At 38.2% G+C, this 26,130-nt stretch overlaps 1 long non-coding RNA gene across 1 annotated transcript, besides 2 other annotated features; it reads left to right on the forward strand.

Annotated features, from left to right (window-relative positions):
- Positions 1-1,091: 1,091 nt before the first annotated feature.
- LOC105373188 (uncharacterized) lies at positions 1,092-25,769 on the forward strand. Its single transcript, XR_949037.3, has 5 exons — positions 1,092-1,299; positions 17,753-17,815; positions 18,531-18,634; positions 22,092-22,176; positions 25,253-25,769. It is a non-coding gene; the product is annotated as an uncharacterized LOC105373188 (long non-coding RNA).
- Positions 2,201-3,139: an enhancer, noted in NCBI's record as "H3K27ac hESC enhancer chrX:42780737-42781675 (GRCh37/hg19 assembly coordinates)". NCBI's record gives its function as "activates a minimal SCP1, AML or CMV promoter by ChIP-STARR-seq in naive H9 embryonic stem cells {active_cell/tissue: H9 hESC(naive)}" and the evidence as "EXISTENCE:reporter gene assay evidence [ECO:0000049][PMID:30033119]".
- Positions 25,221-25,280: a silencer, noted in NCBI's record as "silent region_20781". NCBI's record gives its function as "represses an Ori minimal core promoter by ATAC-STARR-seq in GM12878 lymphoblastoid cells {active_cell/tissue: GM12878}" and the evidence as "EXISTENCE:reporter gene assay evidence [ECO:0000049][PMID:35858748]".
- Positions 25,770-26,130: the final 361 nt, after the last annotated feature.

Raw genomic sequence — 26,130 nt, forward strand, 5'->3', positions numbered from 1 at the left:
TTTACCAGCGAGAGAAGTCACATTTGCTAGGCAACAGTGATGAAGGCCCACTTAGACAGTGGTTAGGAATTCTGATAGGATTTAAGAATAGTTGAAATGAGGGTAATAGAATTATGAGCTAGAAACATAGATGACTGTGGTCATGATGTTTGAGTTCAGATTAAGGATATTTTCCAATATGAATGAGGCTGAGTAACTAGGAGTGTAGTATACAATGACTGCTAAAATAATAAACTAGGAATTGTGATGTCTGGAGCAATGCAATTCAAAGACCTGTGGCTTTTGGTGGAGAATGAAGGTAAAATGATCTGGAAGTTGCAAGGACACCTACCTTACCTTGAGGTCCTATAAGTAGCATATAAGAGGGATGCAGAAAAAAACCATTATTGTCCTTAGGAAACAGCCAGATTATAATTAAAACAAGAAGGTGAAGGGAACATTAAGAGATAAAGTAAAGGAAACAGGGGATTGTGCTGATGGCAGGCCTTTGAATTTCAGAGGATGTGGAACTGAGGATCAGGGAAATGTGAGAGATGATATCAGACTTGCACCTGCATGGAGGTGGATGGAGAGAAAGTCTAGATGATGATGGATGACCTGGGAGATTTGGACTTCTGGTAGTAACTGATGAAAACACACATGGGAGGGAGGTTGATGGAATAGGGAGGAAAAAGAATTAGTCTTAATATGGTCTCTTAGAAGAAGATGAGGCATCAGTTCTATTGAGAGTGACAGTTGATATCAATGGCCTTCACAATGTTGAGTTGTGTTGTAAATATTGTCTTTCCTGGAGCACTCTGAGCCCCGTGGGCCTATTTTATAGTGGAGGAGGAGTCCACTAGAAACAGGTGCTTGTTAAGCTTGTTAACCTGTCTTGAATCTGGTTGAGAGTGATAGTGTTCTGGCCAAGGGATAAAGCTGATCTTACTAGGGCTTCTTGCCCGGATTTGCTTTTTGAGTCCTAGGCCTCCATATCCAACTCTCTGCTCAACTTCTTCATTTCAATGGCTCAAAGGTATCTCAAATTCAACAAGTTCAACACAGCACTGATAATCTCCAAACTCTATACCCCAAATTTAATCCTCTTTCATTTGTCTCCTCATGTATGGGACTATACAAATCAAAATTGAAGAGTCATCCTTGACACTCCTTTCTCCTTAACCACCGTGTCATATCTACTCTGGAGGAAAGTGGAGCAAGATGGCTGAAGAGAAACCCTACTGATCATCCTCCCCACAGGAACACCAACTTGAACAACTATGCACACAAAAAAGCACCTTCATAAGAACCAAAAATCAGGTGAGTGATCACAGTACCTGGTTTTAACTTCCTATCACTGAAAGTCACTGAAGAGGGTAAGAAAGGCAGTCTTGAATTGCCAACGCCAACCCTCCCCCATACCCTGGCAGTAGCTGTGTGGCATGAAGAGAAAATCTGTGTACTGGGGGGAGGGAGAGCACAGTGATCGTGGGACTTTTCATTGGAACTCAGTGCTGCCCTGTCACAGTGGAAAGCAATCTGGGAAAAACTCATCCAGTGCTCATAGAGGGCATGTTTAGACAAGCCCTAGCCAGAGAGGAATTGCCCATCCCAGCAGTTGGAACCTGAGTTCTGGCAAGCCTTGCTGCTCCAGGTTAAAGTGCTCTGAGGTTCTAAATAAACTTGAAATGCAGTCTAAACCACAAGAGTTGCAATTTCTATACAAATGCTGGTGTTATGCTGGGCTCAGAGCCAGTGGACTTGTGGGGCACACCACCCAGTGAGACACCAACCGGGGTGGCCAGGGGAGTGCTTGAGCTACCCCTCCCCCAACCCCAGGCAGTGCGGCTCACAGCTCTGGGAGAGACTCCTTCCCTCCATTTGAAGAGAGGAGAGGAAAGAGTAGAGGGGACTTATTCTTGCAACTTGGATACCAGATCAGCCACAGTAGGATAGGGCACCAGGCAGAGTCCCAAGACCCCCATTTCAGGCCCTGGCACCCTGAAGACATTTCTAGATGCACTGTGGGCCAGAAGGGAACCTGCTGCCTTGAAGGGAAGGGCTCAGTCCTGAAAGAATTAATTGTTTGCTGACTGAAGAGCCCTTGGGCCCTGAATAATCAGCAGCAGTGGCACCCAGGGAATACTCGCTGTGGACCTTGGGTGAGACTCAGAGATGTGTTGGCTTTAAGTGTGACCCAGCACATTTCTAGTTGTGGTGGCAATGGAGAGGGACTCCTTCTGCTTGAGAAAAGGAGATAGAAGAGTAAGGGGATTTTGTCTTGTAGCTTAGGTACCAGCTCAGCCACAGTGGGGTAGAGCAACAAGCAGCCTCCTGGGGCCCCTGATTCCAGGCCTTGGCTCTTGTATAGCATCTGAACCTGCCCTTGGCCAGAGGGGAGCCCACTGCTCTGAAAGTAGAGTCCCAGACCAGGCAGCAGTCAGCACAAGCTGACTGAAGAGCCCTTGTGCCTTGAATGAACATCAGCAGTAGCAGACAGTGTACAATCTGGGCCTGAGGTAACCGTGGCCATAGGGAGAAATTCCTCTATTTGTGGAAGGGAAGGGAAGAGTGGGAAGGATTTTGTCTTGTGGCTTGGGTGCCAGCTCAGATACAGTAGAACAGAGCACCAGGTAGATTCCTAACGTTTCCAACCCCAGGCCCTGGCTCCTTGGTGGCATCTCTGGATCCAACTGAGACTGTGAGGAACTCACCACCCTGAAGAGAAGGACACAAGCTTGGACAGCTTTTCCACCTGTTGATTATAGGGCCCTAGGGCCTTCAGTGAACATTGGCAATAGCCAGGCAGTGGTTACCATGGGCCTTGGGTGAGACCCAGTGCTGTGCTGGCTTCAGGACTCACCCAGCACAGTCCCACTGGTGGTGGCCACAGGGGTCCTTGTGTCACCCCTCCCCCAGCTCCAGGCAACTCATCATGGAGAGAGAGAGATTTGGGAGAAAGTAAGGGAAGAGAAAAAGTAAGGGAAGACAACGAGAATCTCTCCATGGTGAAACAGAGAATCCTTCCAGATCTTATTCAAGACCACCAAGGCAGTATCTCTACCAGTCTGCAAGAGCCACAGCGTTACTGGACTTGGGATGCCCCCTAATGCAGATATGGCTACAGCAACCAGTAAGTTAGATCACAACACCTAAGTCCCTTCGAATACCTGGAAAACCTTCCCAAGAAGGATGGGTAAAAGCAAGTCCCGACTGCAAAGACTAAAATAAATATCTCACTCTTCAATGCTGAGACACCAATGAACATACACAAGCATCAAGACCATCCGGGAAACATGACCGAAAAAATAAACTATATAAGGGACCAGGGATCAATCATAGAGAGACAGATATGTGACTTTTCAGACAAAGAATTCAAAATAGCTGGTTTGAAGAAACTCAACAATATTCAAGATAACACAGAGAAGGAATTCAGAATCCTATGAAATAAATTTAACAAAGAGATTGACATAATTAAAAAGACTCAAACAGATATCACAGAGTTGAAAAATGCAATTGACATAGATACTGCAGAGTTGAAAAATGTAATTGATATACTGAAGAATGCATCAGAATCTCTTAACAGTGGAATTGATCAAGCAGAGGAAAGAATTAATGACCTTGAAGACAAGCTATTTGAAAATATACACTCGGAGAAGAAAAAACAAAAAAAGAATAAAAAAGAATGAAGCACATCTACAAGATCTAGAAAATAGACTTGAAAGGGCAAATATAAGAGTTATTGGTCTTAAAGGGGAGGTAGGTAGAAAGGAAGACCAGGGTAGAAAGTTTATTTGAAGGGATAATAACAGAGAACTTTCCAAACCTAGAGAGAGATATTAATATTCAAGTTCAAGAAGGTTTTAGAATACCAAGCAGATTTAACCAAAAGAATACTACCTCAAGACATTTAATAACTAAACTCCTAAAGGTCAAAAATAAAGGATTCTAAGAAAGCAAGAGAAAAGAAACAAATGACACACAATGGAGCTCCAAAACGTCTGGCAGCAAACTTCTCAATAAATACTTTACAGGCCAGGAGAGAGTGACATGGCATATTTGAAATTCTGAAGGGAAACAAACAAACAAACAAGCAAAAAACTTTTATCCTAGAATCCAGTGAAAATACCCTTCAAACATGAAGGAGGAAGAGAGACTTTCTCAGACAAACAAAAGCTGAGGAATTTCATCAACACCAGAACTATACTACAAGAAATGCTAAAGGTAGTTCTTGAATGTGAAAGAATAGGACATTAAGGAGAGATAAGAAATCATCTGAAGGCAGAAAACTCACTGGTAATAGTAAATACAAAGAAAAATAGAGTATATTATAACACTATAATTGTGGTATATAAACTCGTATTTTGAGTAGAAAGACTAAATGATGAACTAATAAAAATAATAACTACAACTTTTCAAGACATAGACAGTACAATAAAATACAAATCGAAACAACAAAAGTTTAAAAGCAGGGGCATAAAATTAAAGTGTAGAGTTTTCGTCAGTTTTCTCTATTACTTTGGTTGTTTACAAAATCAGTCTTCTGTTGTCATCAGTTCAAAATAATGGGTTATAAGATATTATTTGCAAGCCTCATGGTAACCTCAAATAAAAAAAAATACAACAGATACACAAAAACTAAAAATCAGGAAAGTAAAACATACCACCAGAGAAAATCATCTTCACTACAAGAAAGATAGGAAGGAAGCAAAGAAGGAAGAGAATACCACAAAACAGCCAGAAAGCAAATAACAAAATGGCAGGAATAAGTCCTTACTCATCAGTAATAACACTGAATATCCATGGACTAAACTCTCCAATCAAAATACATAGAGTACCTAAATGAATTTTTTTAAAAAAAGACCCGAAGATATGTTGCCTACAAGAAATACAATCCATCTGTAAAGACACACATAGAAAATAAAGGGATGGAAGAAGACAGCTCATGCAAATGGAAACCAAAAAGAGAGCAGGAGTAGCTCTACTTAGACAAAATATATTTCAACAGAAAAACTATACAAAGAGACAAAGAAGGACATTATATAATGATAAAGGGGTCAATTCAGCAAGAGGATATAGTAATTGTAAACATATATACATCCAACACTGGAGCACCCAAATATATAAAACAAATATTAGAGCTAAAGAGAGAGATAGACCCCAATACAATAATAGCTGGAGACTTCAGTACCCTATTTTCAGGATTGGAAAGGTCATCCAGACAGAAAATTAACAAGGGAATATCTGACTTAATCTACATTAAAGACCAAATTGACCTAATAGATATTTACAGAACATTTCATCCAATGGCTGCAGAATACACATTCTTTTCCTCAGCACATGGATCATTGACAAAGGAAGACCATATGTTATACCACAAAACAAGTCTCAAAACCTTCAAAAAATTGAAATAATATCAAGCATCTTCTGTGATCACAATGGAATAAAACTAGAAATCAAAAACGAGAAATTTTGGAGATGATACAAGCACATGGAAATTTTAAAAATATGCTCCTGAATGATCAGTGGTTCGATGAAGAAATTAAGAGAGACATTGAAAAATTTCTTGAAATGAATGACAACAGAAACATGATATACCAAAACCTATGAAATACAGCCAAAGCGGTACTTAGAGGGAAGCTTATAGCTATAAGTGCCTACATCAAAAAAGAAGAAAAACCTCAAATAAGAAACCTAACAGTACATCTTAAAGAACTAGAAAAACAAGCAAAACAAAACAAAAAAAAATTGGTAGAAAAGAAATAATAAAAATCAGAGCAGAAATAAACGAAATTGAAACAAAAAACTATAAAAAGATCAACGAAAAAGTTGTTTTTTGAAAAGATAAAAAAGTTGGCAAATCTTTATCCAGATTAACTAACAAGAAAAAGACCCAAATAAATAAAACCAGAGGTGAAAAAGGAGACATTACAACCAATACAGTATAAATGCAAATAATTATTAGAAGCTACCATGAGCTTCTAATAATAGAATAAATTGGAAAAGCTAAAAGAAATGCATAAATTGCTAGACACATACAACCTACCAAGATTGAACCATGAAGAACTCCAAAACCTGAACAGACCAATAACAAGTAACAAGAGCCATGATAAAAAATCTTGCAGTAAAGAAAAGCCTGGGACCTGATGACATCACTGCTGAATTCTACCAAACATTTAAAGAGGAACTAATACCAATCCTACTCAAACTATTCTGAAAAACAGAGTAGTAGGGGATACTCCGAATCCATTCTATAAAGCCAGTATTACCCTGATATCAAAGCCAGACAAAGGCACATCAGAAACAGGAAACTACAGGCCAATATCCCTGATGAATATTGATGTGAAAATTCTCAACAAAATACTAGCAAACTCAGTTCAACAACACTTTTAAAAAATCATTCATCATGACCAAGTGGGATTTATCCCTGGGATACAAGGATTATTCAGCATATGCAAATCAATTAATGTGATGCATCACATCAACAGAATAAAGGACAAAAATTATAGGATCATTTCAATTTGATGCTGAAAAAGCATTTGATAAAATGCAACATCCCTTCATAATAATAAAAAAAACTCCCAAAAAACGCAGTGTAGAAGGAAAATACATCAACACAATAAAAGCCATATATGACAGTTCCAGAGCTAATATCATACTGAGTGGGGAAACACTGAAAGCCTTTCCCGTAAGATCTGGAACACAACAAGTATGCCCACTTTTACCACTGTTATTCAAGATAGTACTGAAAGTCCTAGCTAGAGCAATCAGAAAAGAACAAAATAAAGGACATCCAAATTGGAAGCCAAGAAGTCAAATTATCCTTGTTTGCAGATGATATGACCTTATATCTGGAAAAACCTAAAGACTCCACACAAAAAAAATATCAGGACTGATAAATTCAGTAAAGTTGCAGGATACACAATCAACATACAAAAATCAGTGGCATTTCTATATGACAACAATGAACAATCTGAAAAAAAATCAAGAAAATACCCCATTTACCTAGCTACAAATAAAATAAAATACCTAGGAATTAACCAAATAAGTGAAAGATTGCTCTAATGAAAACTGTAAAACATTGATGAAAAAAATTGAAGAGAACACACGCACACAAATGGAAAGATATCCCGTGTTCTTAGATTGGAAGAATCAATATTGTTAAAATGTCCCTAATGCCCAAAGCAATCTACAGATTTAATGCAATCTCTATCAGAATACCAGTGACATCCTTCACAGAAATAGCGAAAAACAATCCAAGTTTATATGGAACCAGAAAAGATCCAGAATATTCAAAGCTATTTAAGCAAAAAGAACAAAACTGAAGGAATCATGTTACCTTACTTCACATTATACTACACAGCTATAGTAACCAAAACAGCATGATATTGGCATTACAACAGACATAGACAGACCAATAGAACAGAATAGAGAACCCAGAAACAAATCCATACATCTATAGTGAACCTGTTTTCAATAAAGTTGCCAAGAACATACACTGGGGAAAGGACAGTCTCTTCAGTAAATGGTGCTGGGAAAACTCCATATCCATATGCAGAAGAATGAAATTAGACCCTATCTCTTGCCATATATAAAAATCAAACCAAGATTGATTAAATATTTAAATCTAAGTCCTCAGAATATAACACTACTATAAAAAAAAAAAAAAACATTGGGGAAACTATCCCACTCATTGAACTGGGCAAAGATTTCTTGAGTAATACCCCACAAGCACAGGCAACCAAAGCAAAAATGGACAAATGAGATCATATCAAGTTAAAAAGCTTCTAGACAGTGAAAGAAATAATCAACAAAGTGAAGGGAAAACCCACAGAATGGGAGAAAATATTTGCAAACTACCCATCTGACAAGAGATTAAGTAACCAGAATATATGAGGAGCTCAAACAGCTCTGTAGGAAAATATCTAATGATCCAATTAAAAAATGGGCAAAAGATTTGAATTGACATTTCTCAAAAGAAGACATACAAATGGCAAACAGGTATATGGAAAGGTGCTCAACATCACTGATATTCAGAGAAATGTAACTCAAAACCACAATGAGATATTTCATCCCAGTTAAAACTGCTTTTTTCCAAAAGACAAACAATAACAAATGCTGATGAGAATGTGGAGAAAAGGGAACCCTTAAGCACTGCTGGTAGGAATGTTAAATTAGTATAACCACTATGGAGAACAGTTTTAAGGTTCCGCAAAAAACTAGTAACAGAGCTACCATGTGATTCAGGAATCCCATTGCTAGGTATATACCCCAAAAAGAAATCAGTATATCAAAGAGATACCTGCACTCTCATGTTTATTGCAGCACTAGTCACTATAGCCAAGACTTGGAAGCAACCTAAGTGTCCATCAAAAGATGAATGCCTGAAGAAAATGTGGTACATATATACAATGGAGTACTACTATTCAGCCATAAAGAATGAGATCCTTTCATTTGCAGCAACATGAATAGAACTGGAGGTCATTACGCTAATAAGCCAAGCACACAAAGACAAACATCACATGTTCTCCCTTATTTGCAGGATCTAAAAATCAAAGCAATTGAAATCATGGACATAGAGAGTAGAAGGATGATTACCAGAGGCTGGAAATGTTAGCAGAGTGGGTTGTGGAGATGTGGGAATGGTTAATAGGTAGAAGAATATAATTAGATAGAATGAATAAGATTTAATACTTGACAGAACAACAGAGTGACTCCAGCCAACAATAGTTTATTGTACATTTAAAAATAACTAAAAGAGTATAATTCGATTGTTGGTAACACAAAGAAAGGATAAGTGCTTGAGGTGATGAAAACCCCATTTACCCTAATGTGATTTTTACACATGGTGTGCCTGTATCAAAATATCTCATATAGCCCACAAATATATACATCTATTATGTACCCACTAAAATAAAGTTAAAAATTTTTTTTAAAAATCTACTCCTACAACATAACCTGAATCTATCCACTTTTTTTTTTCCATTTCCAGTACAGACACCCTTCACAGATACTACCATAGAACAAGTCACCATGTTTTGTCCTCTGTTCTATTATAACAACCTCCCAGCTGGACTTACTCCTTCCATTCCTGCTCCTGATACAACTATCAGATTGCTTTTTGTAAAAAACATAAATCATATTGTATTCATCTCCAGCTGAACCCCTTCTATGATTTTCCAATGTATTTAAAATAAAATCCCAATTGTTTGTTCATAATATTTATGACCCAACAAGAACTGGTTCTAGCTCACCAAACTCTAGTCACACAAAACCTTCTAGCCATACAAACCCTTCGATCTTTGATCATCCTAAATTTGTTCCAAAGTTTGGACTTTTGCATTTGTTATTCCCTCTCCCTAGAACTCTCAGCTCTAGAGTTTCAAATGGATGGTTCTTTCTCATCACTCAGGCCTCAAAACAAATTTCACCTTCTCAGCACTGCTTTGTCTTACATGCAATATAAAGTAGCCAACCCTCACCCCTTGCCTGCTTCAGTCACCATCACATTACTGTTTTATTTTCTTCATCTCTGTTGTAATTTATTTTGTTTATTTACTTATTGACTTATTTTTTGCCTGTTTCTCTTTTCTAGAATGTAACCTCTAGAAAGACAGGAGCTGAATCATGTCCCCCACAATATGTTCAGTGCCTAGAAAAGTGCTTGGTACATAGTAGTCATTCACTATTATTTTTTGAATGAATATCAAAGATTTCTATTGTTAAATAATTACACTCCCCATGAACTGGGTAGACCCAGTCTCATAAGATTACCAGTTGAAAATTTTAATGTACCATTATTTAATAGGTCACTATTTAAATTGCTCCATAAACTCTTCTTTACCTTTACATTTCTGTTTTTGCCCTTTTACAAGGATGAAGCTACTCTGATTTTGAGGGACCTAGCAAAAGATTACAATATCATAATAACTTACCAGATCTAATCTGAAAAGCAATGTACTTTTTAGTGTGCAAAATTATTTGGATGAAATCATGTTCAAGGTTTAAATGCCTCTATTTACCACTAACATATTATAAAATATTTACTTAGCTCTCTTTAGAAAAAAGCAAGATCTCTCTGTCTCTCTTTCTACACAGACACACACACACACAGACACACACACACACATACACACACACGCTTTCAAAATAGCTATTTTTTAAGGTCATGTACACTCCAGAAAATAGCTTTATTTGATGGTAATAGCCACTTATTAGAAAAAGATCTGTTTGTTTCTAAAGGATTACTTTTTGTCTTCCAGAAAAATGTCAATAACCATTGGAGTATAGAGAAATCTTTACTTTCTTGATTTTTTTCACTGCACTATTTGATGTCATTTGCTGGGGAGGTTGAGATAACTGTTGGTGAAAGTACACATTTCTAAAAGAACCTGCTGAGGCTATGTGGAAAGATTCGTAATGGCTAAGAATTGCAGGCTGCTCAGTTAATTGATTTTTTCTATCTAGAGAATAGCCATTCCTTTATTTTCACTGTAGTTGGTGTATAATAGACTGATCTCAAGGTGCACAATTGAACTCTCTCCAGTTGTGAGAACATGTGCTTTTAACTGGAATGCTTGGTACCAATTTAATAAAGAAAATTATATGGGCTGACATTAACCCTTCCTATTTGTTCATGTCGGCATGTTATTATTCTCATGGCTTAGAGTTGACCCAGAAGACAAATAAGAAAAGGGCAATAAATAAGTGTATTTATGTCAAGTACCACATGCCTTTTTTCTCATTATATGTGGATTCTTTTTTCTTCTTAGGACTGGAAATAGAGCTATTTTTGGTCCTATTTCTAAGGGGTGTGGATAATATTCTTCTCTCAAAACTAATCATAATCATTATATACGCCATGCACTTTTATGAAACTGTGAATCTTTACAAACATTAATTCTCAGAGCTCCACTATTAAGCAACATAGGTTGACTCCACAAATCAGATATTCTCTTTCCTTGTTGCCAGGATACTACATAGAGTTTCCAGAGCTGGAGTCTAAGACAGCTGTCCTTTTTTATCACAGCTTCCTTAAAGGGTAGTTAACAGGCAGTTTATGGAGAAAACATCTCATTTATTTCTGGGATAGTTGAACTCTGTTGGCAGTTCTGAACTAAAATTCCACTGCAACAGTATAATATGCTAATTACAATCAATGCATTAGTTATAAGTAAAGCAAGTTTGGCCTAGCTATTTCATCCCTGGGATTCTCAGTTCAAGTAGACTTTTCAGATGAGAAGTCCAACTTAAATGAGAATGAAGAATTTCCAAGTCTCCTGGCTTGTATGGTCAGGAGATTAAGATTAGTGATTGGCATTTTATTCATGAAATGTGTCAATAATTCATTTTTTGTGTCTTTTCAAAACACTTGTTTAGGTGTTGAAGGAAGAGAAAAGGAATGCATATTTTGCAGGAAGTACAATTTTTTGGAATTCTAATAAAACAAAGATTTCTCTGTATATTAAATAACTCTTCTCTGCTATAAAGTAAAAGGACAATAGGGGAGGCAAAAATTTATCTGCATTCATGGAACATATTAAAATACCCATTGAAATTCCTGGTGGCTGGTCTTCCCTTCAAAAATACATACTTCAACTTATTTTCTATTTATTTTTTAGGGAAGCCCGCATTTTAATTAAAATCATAAACCTGAAATGTGATTATCAACTGAAAGAAGGAAAAATCACCTACTCTTCAGATACTAAACATATCAGTTAGCCTTTGCTGTATAGCAAACTACCCCAAAGCTTGGTGATTTCAGACAACAACAATTTAATGAGCAAGCAATTCAGGGGATTGGCACCTTAGATTATGTTCATCTGAGCAATTATTCTGGCCTCTGCTGGGGTCATTCATGCATTTGTGATCAGCTGCTGGGTTGCCTGGTGGATGGCTTTTTTCAGATGACCTCATATTAGACAGCTCATTCCTCCTCTGTGTGGGCTCTTATACTGCAACAGGCTGCTAAGGAATGATCCAAGAAGTTAAGCACAAGCACACAAGTCCTCTTGACGTCTAGCCTTGTAACTAACATAACATCACTTTAGTGGCATTCTATTGGTCAAAGCAAATCCCAAGACCAGGGGGTGAGACCTGGTGTATTACTTCATTCTCTCATTGCTATAAAGAACTACCTTATACTGAGTAATTTATAAAGAAAAGAAGTTTTCATCAGTGTGCTATGACTATTTTAAAAAAAAAGAAAGAAAGAAAGAGGTTTAGTTGGCTCACAGTTCCACAGTCTATACAGGAATCAAAGCAGGGGAAGCCTCAGGAAACTTTCAATCATGGAAGAAGGTGAAGGGGAAGCAGGAACATCCTACATGGTTGGAGCAGAAGAAAGAGAGAGAAGGGGGAGGTGCTACACACTTTTAAACAGCTAGATCTCATGAGAACTCAATCATTATCAAGAGAACAGCAAGGGGGAAATCTGCCCCCATGATCCAGTCACCTCCCACCAGGCCCCTTCTCCAACACTGAGGATTACAATTCAACATGAGATTTGGGTGGGGTCACAAATCCAAATTATATCACCCGGTAAATCACAAAAAAAGAAGATTCAGAGATGCTAAAGCAGATACCTTGCCCCAAGAATAGGTCTCAATTATTGGAGGTCAGATCCTAACGTCCTTCAGGTGTGAACATGTACAAATAACTCTCCCTGCTGTCATCTCATGCTCAAAATGCAACCTTCTGATTTAATTTGGTTTTTCATGTTGTATGCTGAGAATTTCCTGGTCAATGGATTCAAGTAGAATTTATATTTTTTATTACAAATGGGTAAATTGGCACTTAGCTCTACTTACCTCATTTCTGACCATCTTTTTTGCTTTCTTTCCCTCCCATTAGATAAAGTAGCTTCTTTCTTTCTCTGAACTCTGTGTTCTACGGTACCCAGATATTGGACGTATAGATCTGTTTCAGCACAGGCTCCATATAATCTTCCTCTTCCTTTTCCTTTGGAGGCAAGGGCTGGGCTGCAGCATGGCCAACATCATGTTTACCCCAAAAGGAGCCACAGTGGTTCTAAAGGTCTAGGTCTGATTACCTGGACCCACAGAGGCTCTGCCTTTTCCAGTGACTGTTTAGCGGGGTCAGATGGGGTGTTAGTGCCCCATGGGGTGGATTTTGATCAAGGAGACTGAAGGAAGAAAGGAACTGGTCGATAAATTGCTTTTCCTTCCTCTCTTTCCAATACAACCAGATGGTTCAGAGAAGCAATGATTCCACATATCCTTTCATGCATTCATAGTCTTGTAACTTTTCATGCATTTGTTAACTACTAAGTAAACGTGGAATTAGGGAATTTGTTTGTTTTGAGTTTTGACCAACAAATAAATAATGGCCTTATTTCAGAATAATCCTGACAAACTGGGGCATGTTTTGCTGAGGCATAACTCTTCCTGTCCCATGCTTTGAGACAGATTAGTGGAGTCACTTAGCTAGAGAATGACAGCACACTGCCTACAGCAAAGCCAGTTTGGATAAATTATGCTATGGGTGGGATTTTTAAAATACTTATAAAAGAAGATTTGTATTTTTTGTTTGTTTGTTTTTGTTTTGTTTTATTTTGTTTTGTTTTTATTGATACACAGTGAGGACAGAAACTCTGTTTGAAATTATAATGGCCTGTAAATATATATATGTAAACCTAGGGGTGAACTGCCTGTGCTATCATCCCTTTTACAACTATACAATCTAAATTAAAAGTTGAATTTATCACATCACACAACTAATAAAATTTAAATAAACCATATTAATTTTATATAGAAAATAAGTTTTTGCTGAAGCTATACTAGTGCTCACCATTGATATTACGTATACAAATATGATAGTGTACCATATGATGATTTGATTATCTCACTGTTTTCTCTGTTTAAATAATTTTAAGACCTTTTATCATATATTAATTCTGCCTCTGTATTTTTCCATTAACCCAAAATAATTGAAGTAGAACATTCCTACAAAACATAGTAGTTTTCAGGATAGGACATCCAACTCTTATGTAAGTAATTTAAGTCAAAATTCAATAATGTCATAGTTCAGTGCTTTTTAAAAGCAAAAGTCTAGGTTTTTTTTCCCTCATAACTGTTTAAGGAAGTCAATGTTTGCCCAATAGCAGGTGCTAAAAGTTTTCATTTGTGGCATTAGAGGGGGCTAACAAGAGCAAAGCAATGTGCTTACCAGCATATTAAAATGTAAATGCTGGTGCTTCATGATCCTTTTGTGCAACGTGGTCACCTAAACACAAGGGTAAACATGCACATTAAAATAAAGTAATGCTCAATCATAAGATGGTCATCTAGCAATGAGACAAAGACAAAAGGAGAAGGAAAAAAATGGGAGAGGTGGGGGATGGACAACATTAAATCCTGTAGAATATGTGACCTCCAAGATGTCTCCCCTCCAGGCTGTGCCCCAGCTGCAAGGTAGAGGATGGGTAATCCACATTGAGTACGGAAGAGAATGGGCCAGGGAGTACAGGGTCTGGGTACCAGAGCTGAGAAAGCTGAGACCCACATGTGCACCTTGGTGACTTCACCATGTGACTCCACATGCCATATGGGACAGGTCATATGGGAAACCCCAATGGTGCCTTTGCTGCAAATCTGGAAAAGACATGGTCATAGGGCACCTCCAGTGTCCTGCCCCTGCTTGGCCCAGTTTTATTTGCTGGTGTTTTGCCACCAGAAATAGCCCTTGCATTGTCCTAATCTGTATTTGTGAATTGTGCTGGTTTCCTGGAGATTGTCACCACCTGCCAAAGGTGGGTGCATTAAAAGGCACCACTGGTTCTTGGGCTTCGTGGTGTCTCATGAGTTCAAGCATACCTCTGGCCCAGGCCACTGTCACTGTCTGTTAGTTGAAGAAAAAGCAGTTCTCAGCTGCAAGCAAGGACCACCTTTTGTAACTGTCACTGTCCTGGCCTTGAGAAAAGAGTCCACCCTCCTTGGGGCACCCCACGGATGACACAGTCAGTACTAGAGGTTCCAGAGAGGGTGGGTGAAGCTGTTGATCTCTTCATAATTGGCACAGACTATTTTGGATATTTCTAGGTGGGCAGTTTCTTTGCATGTTTCAGGAGAGGTTAATTGATTTTGGGGTTGCATGGCAGGCCTTTAGTTTGGGTCTTATTTTAGTGGTTGTTTGGGGCCCCCAGGGAGAGAGATGGGCAGTGGATGGGGCTTTTCTATGTGCTCCTGTGTGCTTTTGTTTTCATTTCGCGTTCTTCCCCCTCCACAAGCCAAAGTCGTTTCCTGTGGTTTCCACTGTGTGGACAGTGCTCAAGCACAGTGCTTGCCAGAAGGATTAGGGGCTGGGTAAGCCCCAGGTCACAGACAGATGAAGCAGATAAACTGTTCTTCTGGTTCCTGTCCAACCTCAGAGGGGCAAAAACCCTCCCCAGGAAGGAGAAGAGTGTTCAAAAGCCAGACTTTTGGAGAAGAGGCAGCTGGGCATTGCTGAAAGCCTTCATTATGAACTGTGGAGAAGCAGCCCTTGCCCCTACTGTGGGCTGAGGGGACCACAGCTGGGTACCCTGGGTCAGACTGAAGCCAACAATGCCAGCTGCCCCTTTTGGCCTGCTGGCAATGCCACGGGTGCCAGAGAAGATGGAGGATCCCTGTGCCAGGAGCCCACTTGGACTTCGCAAGGGGCAGTACCCGGGTGAAGAGGGAAGAAAGAATATAAAGTTCCCTGTAGGTCCTCTGTCAAAAAAAGTAAAAATAAAAATTAGATGGCCATCCATATGATAGAGAACATGCTACTCTTATTAATTTTAAATATAATTGGAATGAAAATTCATACTCTTAAAAAGAATCTTGTAATAAACTCAAGGACACAAAACACTCCTGGAAACATGACGTCCACCACTGGGGAGACATGCTCTAGGGCAGTGGTTCTTAATTTATTTGTCATCTCTTTGTAAATCAAGTTAAAAAAAAAAAAAAACATTGGTTTTATCCCAGCAAAGTTTACATGTGTGCACAAACAATATTTTGAATATCGTTTCAGTAAGTTTATGAATGTCCTGATGGCAATCCAAGGACTAGCATAATTACATTATTTCATTGAATTCTTCCAATTATCTTGGTAAGTAGTATCCTGTAGAGAAATCTCAGAGTAGCATAATTATGCTCCCTTTTGTATGTTAATTGCTTTTTCTCCAAGATTTCCTTAGGATACTTTTTTCTTAATCTTCAAATATCAGTAACTTTACCAGTTACTTTCCCTAGGAAACAGCCTAATTTGCTCTTCAGAGTCAAACAAGACTTTTATTTCAAAAACACTTTCTTCTATTAAATCTTTGAATGCATTTTTCCATCTTTTCTGTTCTTTTCTTTCATCTGAATTCCATATCTAATGATCTTTTTATAATTTTATATCTCATTCATTTTAATTCTCATTTTGTGTAATTTTTTTGAAGTTTCACTTCCATGTCACTGATTGTGGCATCAAATACTGTTTATTCTGTTTATGATTGCATCCAATGTGACACTTATTTTTGTAAATATTTAATTTCTAATTTATTTTTATTTCTCATATTTCTCTTCATTGATGACTTTTCTTCATCTTCTGCTTCACATCTTTTTTAAACAAGACTGTGATACCTGTATGCTTTTTGAAATTATAGACAAATTTCTTTTCACCTCTTAGCTTTTAAGTCATCCTTGTTATAATACATGCTATTCATTTGCTTTTGAATTATGTTTTTCCTTTCTTGATTTTGTAATTTCTACTCATTGGTCAAATCGTTTTTCATTGATTCTTTATCTTTGTTTTGAAATTGGACCAGCTGTTGATGAATTTAAAGAGCACCCTTACTAGTGCTGGCCTTCCTAAGAATAAATTTTTTATCTTTCTTACTATTAGTAAGACTCTCTGTTACTCATGATCTAACATAATTTCTAATTGATGCATGTTCAATTGATAATGGAGATGTGACACTTGTGAATGTTTGTATACCAGATATCATTGTGTTATCATTCATAAAACAGAAACTGTAAGAAATGCAAGAAAAAATAGAGAAAATTACATTAGTATTAATATTAGTAAGTCTTGGTTTACTTGTCCTCATTCATATTACATCAACTATACAGAATTATACAAATATATTGACTAAAATAAATGCCATACTTCAATGAGGTAAAACTAATTGTAATATTTTGAACTCAAATTAACTGATCGAAAAAGTAAGCCAGGAGGGGTGGCTCATGCCTGTAATTCTAGCACTTTGGGTGGCTGAGGCAGGAGGATAGCTTGAGGCCAGAAGTTTAATACCAACCTAGGCAACAAAATGAGGCCCTGTCTCTACAAAAAATAAAAAATCAACCAGGCATGGTGGTGTACACCTATACCCGCAGCCCCTCAGGAAGCTGAGGCAGGAGGATCACTTGAGTCAGGGAAGTCGAGGCTGCAGTGAGCTGTGATTGTGCCACTGTACTCCAGTCTGGGCAACAGAGCGAGACCCTGCCTCAAAAAAACAGCAACAAAAAAACAAAACAAAACAAAACAAAAAACGCAAAAAATATTTTGGCAAGACCATAGAAGACGTAAATAATGTGATTCATTAGCTTGGCTTTGCAGTAACGAAAATGGTGAATTAAAATTTACCAAAATTCTTTTGAATTTGTCTATTGCTTCCATTTATTCTGTCACTTTTTGCTTTGTAGACTTGAGGAGTATGTTATTAGACATGTACAAGTCCAGAATTGTCATGTCTTTTTGATGGATTAACACTTACATCATTACAAAATATCTCTCTTTCTAGGAATGGTTTTGCCCTAAAGTTTACTTTGTCTGATATTAGTCCAGCTACACCAGATTTCTTGTGGTAAGTTGTTGTATCACTATTTCTGTGCTCTTTAAACATTTTTGCATACGTATATCTAAAGTGTGTATCTTACAAACAGAATATATTTGAGTTCTGTTTTTTGTCCAGTCTGGTAATTGCTGGAATATTCAAACCATTAACATTTAATGTGATTACTTACATATTTGTATTTAAATCTGCCATCATACTTGCTTTTCTACATGTTTCATATACTTCATGTTTTTTCTCTCCTTTCTTGCTTTCTTTGCATTGATTAAATATTCTTTTATTGTTCTATTTATCCTCTATTATTTTCTTTCCCCTCTATTAGCTTATTATTCTATTCCCCATTTGTTAGCTTATTACTTAGACATTTTTACTCTTCTTTTCAAGATTATCCTACAGATTAAAACATGGATTCTTTATTCATTAGTTGTAATATAAATTAGATGTTTTCCTACATCCCAGAAAATTCAAGGACCTTTGAACACATAAATTTCATTTATTCTTTGTGGTAGATTGTATTGTTTCTTTTTTCAGATTCAACATAAATAAAAATGTAAAAAATACATTTTTATTTCTGTATTCTGGTAAAAGATTGTATAAGTCTTTGGCTACATGACTAACATTGGTCAAAAGAATGTAAATAGAAGTGGCTATATGTGATGTTTAAGAAGAAACTTTAGCGGTATTGGATAATTCTTCCATTTCTCTTTTTGTTCTGCTATGAGAATAGAATATCTCAAATAGTGGTTACTTCTACTGGCTGGTTTTTGCAATGAAGACAATATATGGTGAAGAACTAAAGCCAACTCAGAGCTACTGTGGTCAACATAAAATGTGAGAAAACAATAATTGTTGTGATAATGTATTGAGATTTGGGTAATTGTTACTGTAGCATAGCTTATGGATGCTAACCAAAACACTCCTTCTTTTCTTTTGTGTTATATTGAAATGTATTTTACTTCTAAATGTATAAAAACAGTCTTGGACATTATCATTACAGCTTTATGCAGCCTATATTTATTTAAAATTATTTACATGTTTACCTCCTTTTTTTTTTTTCTTAGAAAACTTTTCATTCCTTCTGACTTCTCTGCGTTTCTATCTGGGATCATTTTCCTGTTACATGAAGAAATCCTTTTGGTAATTCTCACTATGTTGTTATGCTGGTGATTAATTTTCTTAGTTTTTGTTTCTCTCAAATCATTTTTGCTTTTTTTATTTTTAATTTTGTAGAGGCAGAGTGTCACTCTGTCATCCAGCCTGGAGTGCAGTGATGTTATCACAGCTCACTGCAGCCTTGAACTCCGGGGTTCAAGTGATCATTCTACCTCAGCCTTCCAAATATCTGGGAGTACAAGCATGCACCATCACACCCAGATAACTTTTTTTATTTTTCTTTCTTTGTTTTCTTTTCTTTTTTTTTGTTTGTTTGTTTGTAGAAACAGCATCTCACTATGATGCCCAGGCTGGTCTTGACCTCCTGGTCTCAAGCAATCCTACGTCAGCCTCCCAAAGTGCTGGGATTATAGTTGTTAATCACCATGCCCAGCCTTGCTTTGCTTTTGAAGAATGTTTTTGGTGGGTAGAGAATTCTAGGTTGGCAGTTATTTCAGCATTTTGAAGATTCCATTCCATTGCTTTCTGGCCTCCATCATTTCTGTTGAGAAGTTTGTTAGATGTTATAGGATTTCTCCTTTGAAGATAAATATATCTTCCCTCCGATTGCTGTCAAGATTTTATTTTTGTTTTTGATTTTCAGTAGTTTGATGCATCTGCATGTAATTTTCTTTACATGCGTCTTACTTGTGGTTTCTAGTACTTATCAAGTCTGTGGGTTGGTATGTTTCATCAGTTTTGCAAAATTATCAGTTTTTACCTCTTTAAATGTGTTTCTATTTCCTCTTTTTCTGGGACTCAGATTTTGTATATGCTAGATGTTTTCACTGTGTACCATGTACACTATATATACTTCGTACTATTTTGTTTTGTTTTGTTTTGTTTTTTTGAGACGGAGTCTCACTCTGACACCCAAGCTGGAGTGCAGTGGCGCGATCTCGGCTCACTGCAAGCTCTGCCTCCCGGGTTCACGCCATTCTCCTGCCTCAGCCTCCCAAGTAGCTGGGACTACAGGCGCCCGCCACCAAGCTGGCTAATTTTTTTTTTTGTATTTTTAGTAGAGACGGGGTTTCCCCGTGTTAGCCAGGATGGTCTCGATCTCCTGACCTCGTGATCTGCCCACCTCGGCCTCCCAAAGTGCTGGGATTACAGGCGTGAGCCACCGCACCCGGCCCATACTATTGTTTTGTATTTTCTATCCTTTTATCTCTTTATGTCTCACTTCTGAGCATGTTATTCTGAACTATATTCCAGTTTTATAATTCTTTCATTAGCTATATCTAATCTTTTAAATGTACTTAATGTGTTCTTAATTTTAGTTATTATAATTTTTCTATTAAAAAATTTCCATTGGCTTCTTTCTTAATTATAATTTCTAATTCTCTAGTGGAATCTCTGAACATAAGAACAGTTATTTTAAAGTAGTGCTTGGTAATTTTAATATCTGATCTCCTGGAGGACTATTTCTGCTGTTTCGTTTTTCTCTTATCTGCACACCAATTTTTTATTGTATCTGATCATTGTGTATAAAAAACTATAAAGACAATTTGAAGCTCTGGACTATGTTTTCTTCCTTCAGTGAGGATTTAACTTTGTTTTTGCTAGGTAGTTATGGTAAAGGTATATCACCTTTACCAATCAGGTATTGAGCTATTTTAAAGCTGGATTTTAGTCATTTGAATGAAGGCTAGAGTATTTGCCATTCAGCATTATTTTTAAATTAGAGGTCTTTGGGGATCCCAACTTAAAGGCTATGATGTTTAGCAAGCTCCCTCCTTTTTCACAGGCTCTGAAGTTTAGTCCTTCCCCCAAGCCTATGGAACTTCCAGAAGCCTTCCTCATCTTTTCAGCTTCTTAAGCACCACCATCTGCTTGTCTTCTTTGCTTCTCAGACACAGTATTTTGCTCAGCTTCCTGGCCTCTCAGAAGGCAGTTTGGATTTTCAAAGGCCTTGAAGTATGTATATTATCTTCCTATTGTGGCTTAAAACAAAACACATTTATTATCTCATAGTTGCTGTGGGTCAGGGGTCTGGGCCCAGCTTGCCTGGGTGCTCTGTTAAGGAACTCACAAATATGTGATCAAGATGTTATAGAGGCTACATTCTCATCTGGAGGCTTAACTTAAAGAATCTGGCAGAATTCATTTCCTTAAGGCTATATGATTGAGGGATCCAGATTTCTGCTGGCTAGAGGTCATCTTCAAGTCCTAGAGGCCACCTGCTCTTTCCTGCCATGTGACCTTCTCTGCTGGCAGTTCACAACATGGCAGGTTGCTTCTTAAAGGCCTGCATGAGAGTATCTGTCTCCAAACAGCTAAGATAGAGTCTTACATAATGTAACCTGATAATGAGAGTGACAGCCAGCACCTTTGCTATATACTATAACCAAATTAGGTTAGTGAAATCTCATTTCCTATTCCATATGCTATTGACTAGAAGCAACTCAGAAGTGCCATCCACACTTAAGGCCTCAGGGTCGTATGAATTCCTGTAATGCCTCCAAAATGTGGTACTGGTTTTTATTTATTATTTTCATAGTTAGAAGCAGTTCTAGTGGCTTTCATTTGGCCTTTTCTTCCATAATAGCCTTCTCTATATATGTCACAGAACCAATGTGGTTATTGTGCCAGTTACTGAGCATGTCTATTCCAGGTATATATATTTTAAATGGAGAAATAGACCCTTGATGGGTATGGATACCCACTGGGACCACTTTGGGATAGAACTGAGCTGAAATTCCATCACCTGACCTTTTACCTCCATAAGTGCGTACTCTAAGTGTGTGGACATCAGTGACATTTTGGGTCTTCAGGAATTAGTGTCAATTCAGAGCCAGCATCTAGTAATTCCCCCAAAGACTGATTATTTCCCCTTCCCAAATGTATAATCACCTAGGTAAATAGTAAAAGTCTGCAAGTAACTCTGGGGAAGGCTAGTAGGAAGACTAATAGAATAAATTTGTGGCAGTGTATTAGGCTCTTTCCTCAAGTGGGCCCGATCTCCCCTTTGTTCAATCAATTTTAGGTTGGTGAACTGGCTCAAATCTGGGAATTGACTCAAGGGTTATCATATTTTAGGGATTCAAGTAAGGCTTCCGTTCACTAAGGCTAGATCTGTTCTGCTTATATAGATCAAGTAAGAATTTAGTAAACTGTCCATCTATTTTTTTTTTAGAGGCACTGTGATCAACCAGCCAACACTAAAGATTTCTGGGAGCCAGACTCTTCTAATCACTGCTTTGACTCTGCTGGCAATTATGGTAACTATACTAATCTTGTCTTAGGCAATTTGTATTAGTTTCTTAGGTTTGCCATAATAAAGTACCACAAACTGGGTGGCTTAAAACTATAGAAATTTATTCTCCCACATTATGGAGGCTAGAAGGCTGAAATCAAGGTGTTAGCAAGGTTGGTTCTTTCTGAGGCTCTGAAAGGGAATCTATTCCATACCTCTCTTCTAGCTTCTGATGAGTGCTGGCAATCCTTGGCATTCCTTGGCTTGCAACTGCTTTGCTCCAACCTCTGCCTTCGTCATGACACAGCATTCTTCCTGTGCATCTCTATGTCTAAATTTCCCTCTTATGAGGACACCAGTCATTAGATTAAAGACCACTTTAATCCATTACAACCTCATCTTAATTTAATTATATCTACACAGATCCTATTTTCAAATAAGGTCACATTCACAAATACTGGGGGCTAGGACTTCAACATATCTTTTTGAGGGAACACAATTCAATTTACAAAGGCAATTAAGTGCTGCCACTGCCACTTGGCCTTTGTCGTCTCAAGAGTCTATCATTGTTATTACATTTAGGGATCCTAGTTTATGGTAGCAGTTCCCATGATAATTTCTGGTCTATAATGAATAGTCAGCACAAAGCTCATCAAGGATGCTGGAGCTCCCCTTACAGATTTATTTCTCATAGCCAGGGTAAAGGGTGTGTTCTGAGAGCCCTCTCAAGGTGAATGAGTAGGTCTTATATGATAAAGACACTCCAACATTCAAATGTTTCTAAGCCTTTAGATATCTTCCTCTACAGTATACCCCAAAAGTTCTGGCATATTTTGATTTCATTTATTGTAGGTCACTTTTGGGTCCATGTTTCAGCCAACCAACCAAGTAAACTGTCAAGCCCCTCAACCTGAAACACTGAATCTAGAATATTTGCTTAGTTGGCCCTGTTATGGACTGCATTGTTGCCTCCTCCCCAAAATGTGTATGTTGAAACCCTAACCCCCAATGTGACTATATTTGGAGATGGGGATAATTAAGTAAAATGAGGTCATAAGGGTGAGGCCTTAATTCCATAGGGCTGATGTCCTTATAAGAAAAGGAAGAGACATCAGCGCTGTCTCTCTCTCTCTCCACGTGAATGCCCAGAGGAAAGACCATGTGAAGGTACAGTAAGAAGGTAGCCATCTGCAAGCTGGAAAGTGCCCTCCACAGAAACTAAGCCTGTTGGCACCTTGATCTTGAACTTCAATCCTCCAAAATTGTAAGAAAATAATTTTTTTGTTATTTAAGCCACCCTGCCCATGGTATTTTGTTATGGCACGCCAAGCTGATGAATACAGGCCCATATCAACTAATTCTGCCCAATCCAACTTCATTTTCCTTTCACTTTGACTCCATATCTTTAAAATTGATTCCTATGCATATCCCCCAGGTTTCTGACTATATAAAGTGATAAAACTGTACAATGCTTTTGGTATGCATAGCAGCTCCTCATGGGTTACACTTTGTACTTTACCCCTCTGAGCCCGCTGGGACTTCAGGTAAGTTATAGGTTTAGAAGCAAAGAGAGGTGGTGGGGGTAGGTCTTAAAGAGGATCAGCAGTGCCTTACCAGTCAACTACCTCAGGAAAGGCAGGCAAAGGAGGGCCAATCTTCTCAAGACAGGAGTAGAAAGGCTGCTTCTACTGGCAAAAAAGGCTCAGCAGAACTCAGGGGTTAGAGTCCCCAGCTTTGTGAGAATCTGCCCATAGGATCCCATTCCAGCTTTATATTCATACAGAGGCTACAAGGCTGAGAAATCACTTTGCATCATTCAGCCACTGGCAGGGCGGAGACTCTGAATTTTGGTTTTCAGGGCCCTGTGGCTATGGAAGGAAGATAAGAATTTCTTTCAGGGCAAACAGAAGCTTTCAGTTTCTTTATGTGGACTTTGAGCTGATAATTCAAATTCCCGAGCCTATCCTTTCCCTACTTTCTCCCACGCAGTTAGGAGCAAACAGCCAACCTCATTGTACTCCTTGGTTTGACTAAAATGTGCTAAGGCATCAAATACATGGTCACCCAGAACCTTGTCTTCTGTAAGTGTTTGATTAGGAGTAACTGTAAGGGATAATTGGAAGGATGGCCGAGAAAGGAATGAGGCCAATAGACCCAAGTTCAGGCAAGCTGATTTATTGTCAGTCCTGCCAGGCCACCTCTTGACAAAAGCAGAGGAGGCAGCCCCACTTACAGGCTATAGCAAGGTTTTATAGGGTGTAGAACTGGGTCAAGGTGAAGGAAAAAGAAAAGAGACGGGGCGGGGGGGGGGTCCTTTGTGCCAGGTGTCTGACCACTTCCTGGAGATGTTTTTCTTGCCAGTTCTGTTGTGCAAGGTAGATGTCTTAACCACATCCTGGAGCAGCTGGCCTCTGGTCAAACAGTTACAGGAGGGTTTGGGGTAGGGTGTTTTGCTTTTGGCCTTTGGGGCTTAGATCTATGGGAGGGGGAAACAGTCCAGTTGGGTGGACCCTAACAGTAACCAGTGGGGATATTTTGTGTATCTCTATTGCCACATCATGCCATTGACTACCAGTGCCCTTCTTACTGCTAGAAGTAGACTCATTAGTGCTTTTAAATTTAATCATATTAGAGAAGACTCAAAACCAAGTCAGAGAATTCATACTTAAGATTCTATCCCCCTGGAACCACTCTTGGTATTAAAATCTGTATCAGTTAGCATTTAATCAGAGAAGCAAAAACTAGTATCTATCTAGATCTCTATATTTATATCAGATATTCTGCAGAGTGGCATTATTGACTTTTGGGCTGGATAATTCTTTGTTGGGGTGTGAGGGTGGGGGACAGTCCTGTGAATTGTGGGTTTATCTATGGCCTCTACTCACTATATGCCAGTAGCACAACTCTCTACCCTCCACCAAGTTGTAACAACCAAAAACGTATGCAGACACTGCCAAATGTTCCCTGAGGGTGAAAATTGCCTCCAGCTGAGAACTACTGGTATCTCTATATTATCTATATTTTTATTTATAGCTATATGTATCTCTTCCTCTATCTGAGAGAGAAATTGGTTATACGGAATTGGCCTTATGCAATTGTAGGAGCTGGCTAAGCAGTCTCTGTATGGCTGTTTTCTCACACATGATGCTGAGGCTTCAAGATCACAGGGATGGCAGTCAGAAAAGGAAAAACACAAGCAGGCTGGAACCAACAAGCTTAAGCTGGAACTCCGTGGAGAAGGACTAAAACCTGTGTTCATTCTTGTTGCCTCTAACCTTGGTAATGAGGGTATCCAGCAGAAGTGGGGCCCTTTGTCACAAAGTGAAACACACACCCCTGGTCTAGGAGTCTGAGAAGCTGAAAGAATATCAGCGGCAGGTAGAGCAGCCACAGAATCAGATGCTGCTTCACACCAGTAGGGTGAATCTACAGATCAGCAACAATATGTGTGAGCCACAAAATGGCCACTGCTTCTCTTTCAGCCTCTAAATGTCTCAAGAATCTTCCCTATGTCTTACCTCAACTCAAAACAAACAAGAGAAAAAATTCTGGGAAATGCAATTCAGCCTAGACAAGGTGACATATGAGAAAGCCATTACAAGATAGTTTGCTCAAAGTAGGATCCAAATTATGTCCATACTCAAATGAAAATATTATCCAAGCTGGGAGAATGTGTGGTTCCAAAGACTGACTACAAAATAAATTATGAGCTTAAATGGATTAAAATCATATTAAATATGTAGAAACTTCAAAACTCCACAAATCCAAAGTATGTCATGTACGGATAGAAATTTTTTCTTCACTGATGAGATAGAAAAAGAATTTGTCTGGCACAATGTATGACCCTTTGTCTATTCAAAAATGATCACAGCTAATGCAAAACATTTAACAGAAAGATAAATTTAATGTTAACAAGCACATTTGATAATTGTCCCAGGAAAGATTATAGGTAACTGGATGGAAGTATTTTTCAAGTAAT

The sequence above is a fragment of the Homo sapiens genome, chromosome X (assembly GCF_000001405.40).
Source record: "Homo sapiens chromosome X, GRCh38.p14 Primary Assembly".
Taxonomy (NCBI): domain Eukaryota; kingdom Metazoa; phylum Chordata; class Mammalia; order Primates; family Hominidae; genus Homo; species Homo sapiens.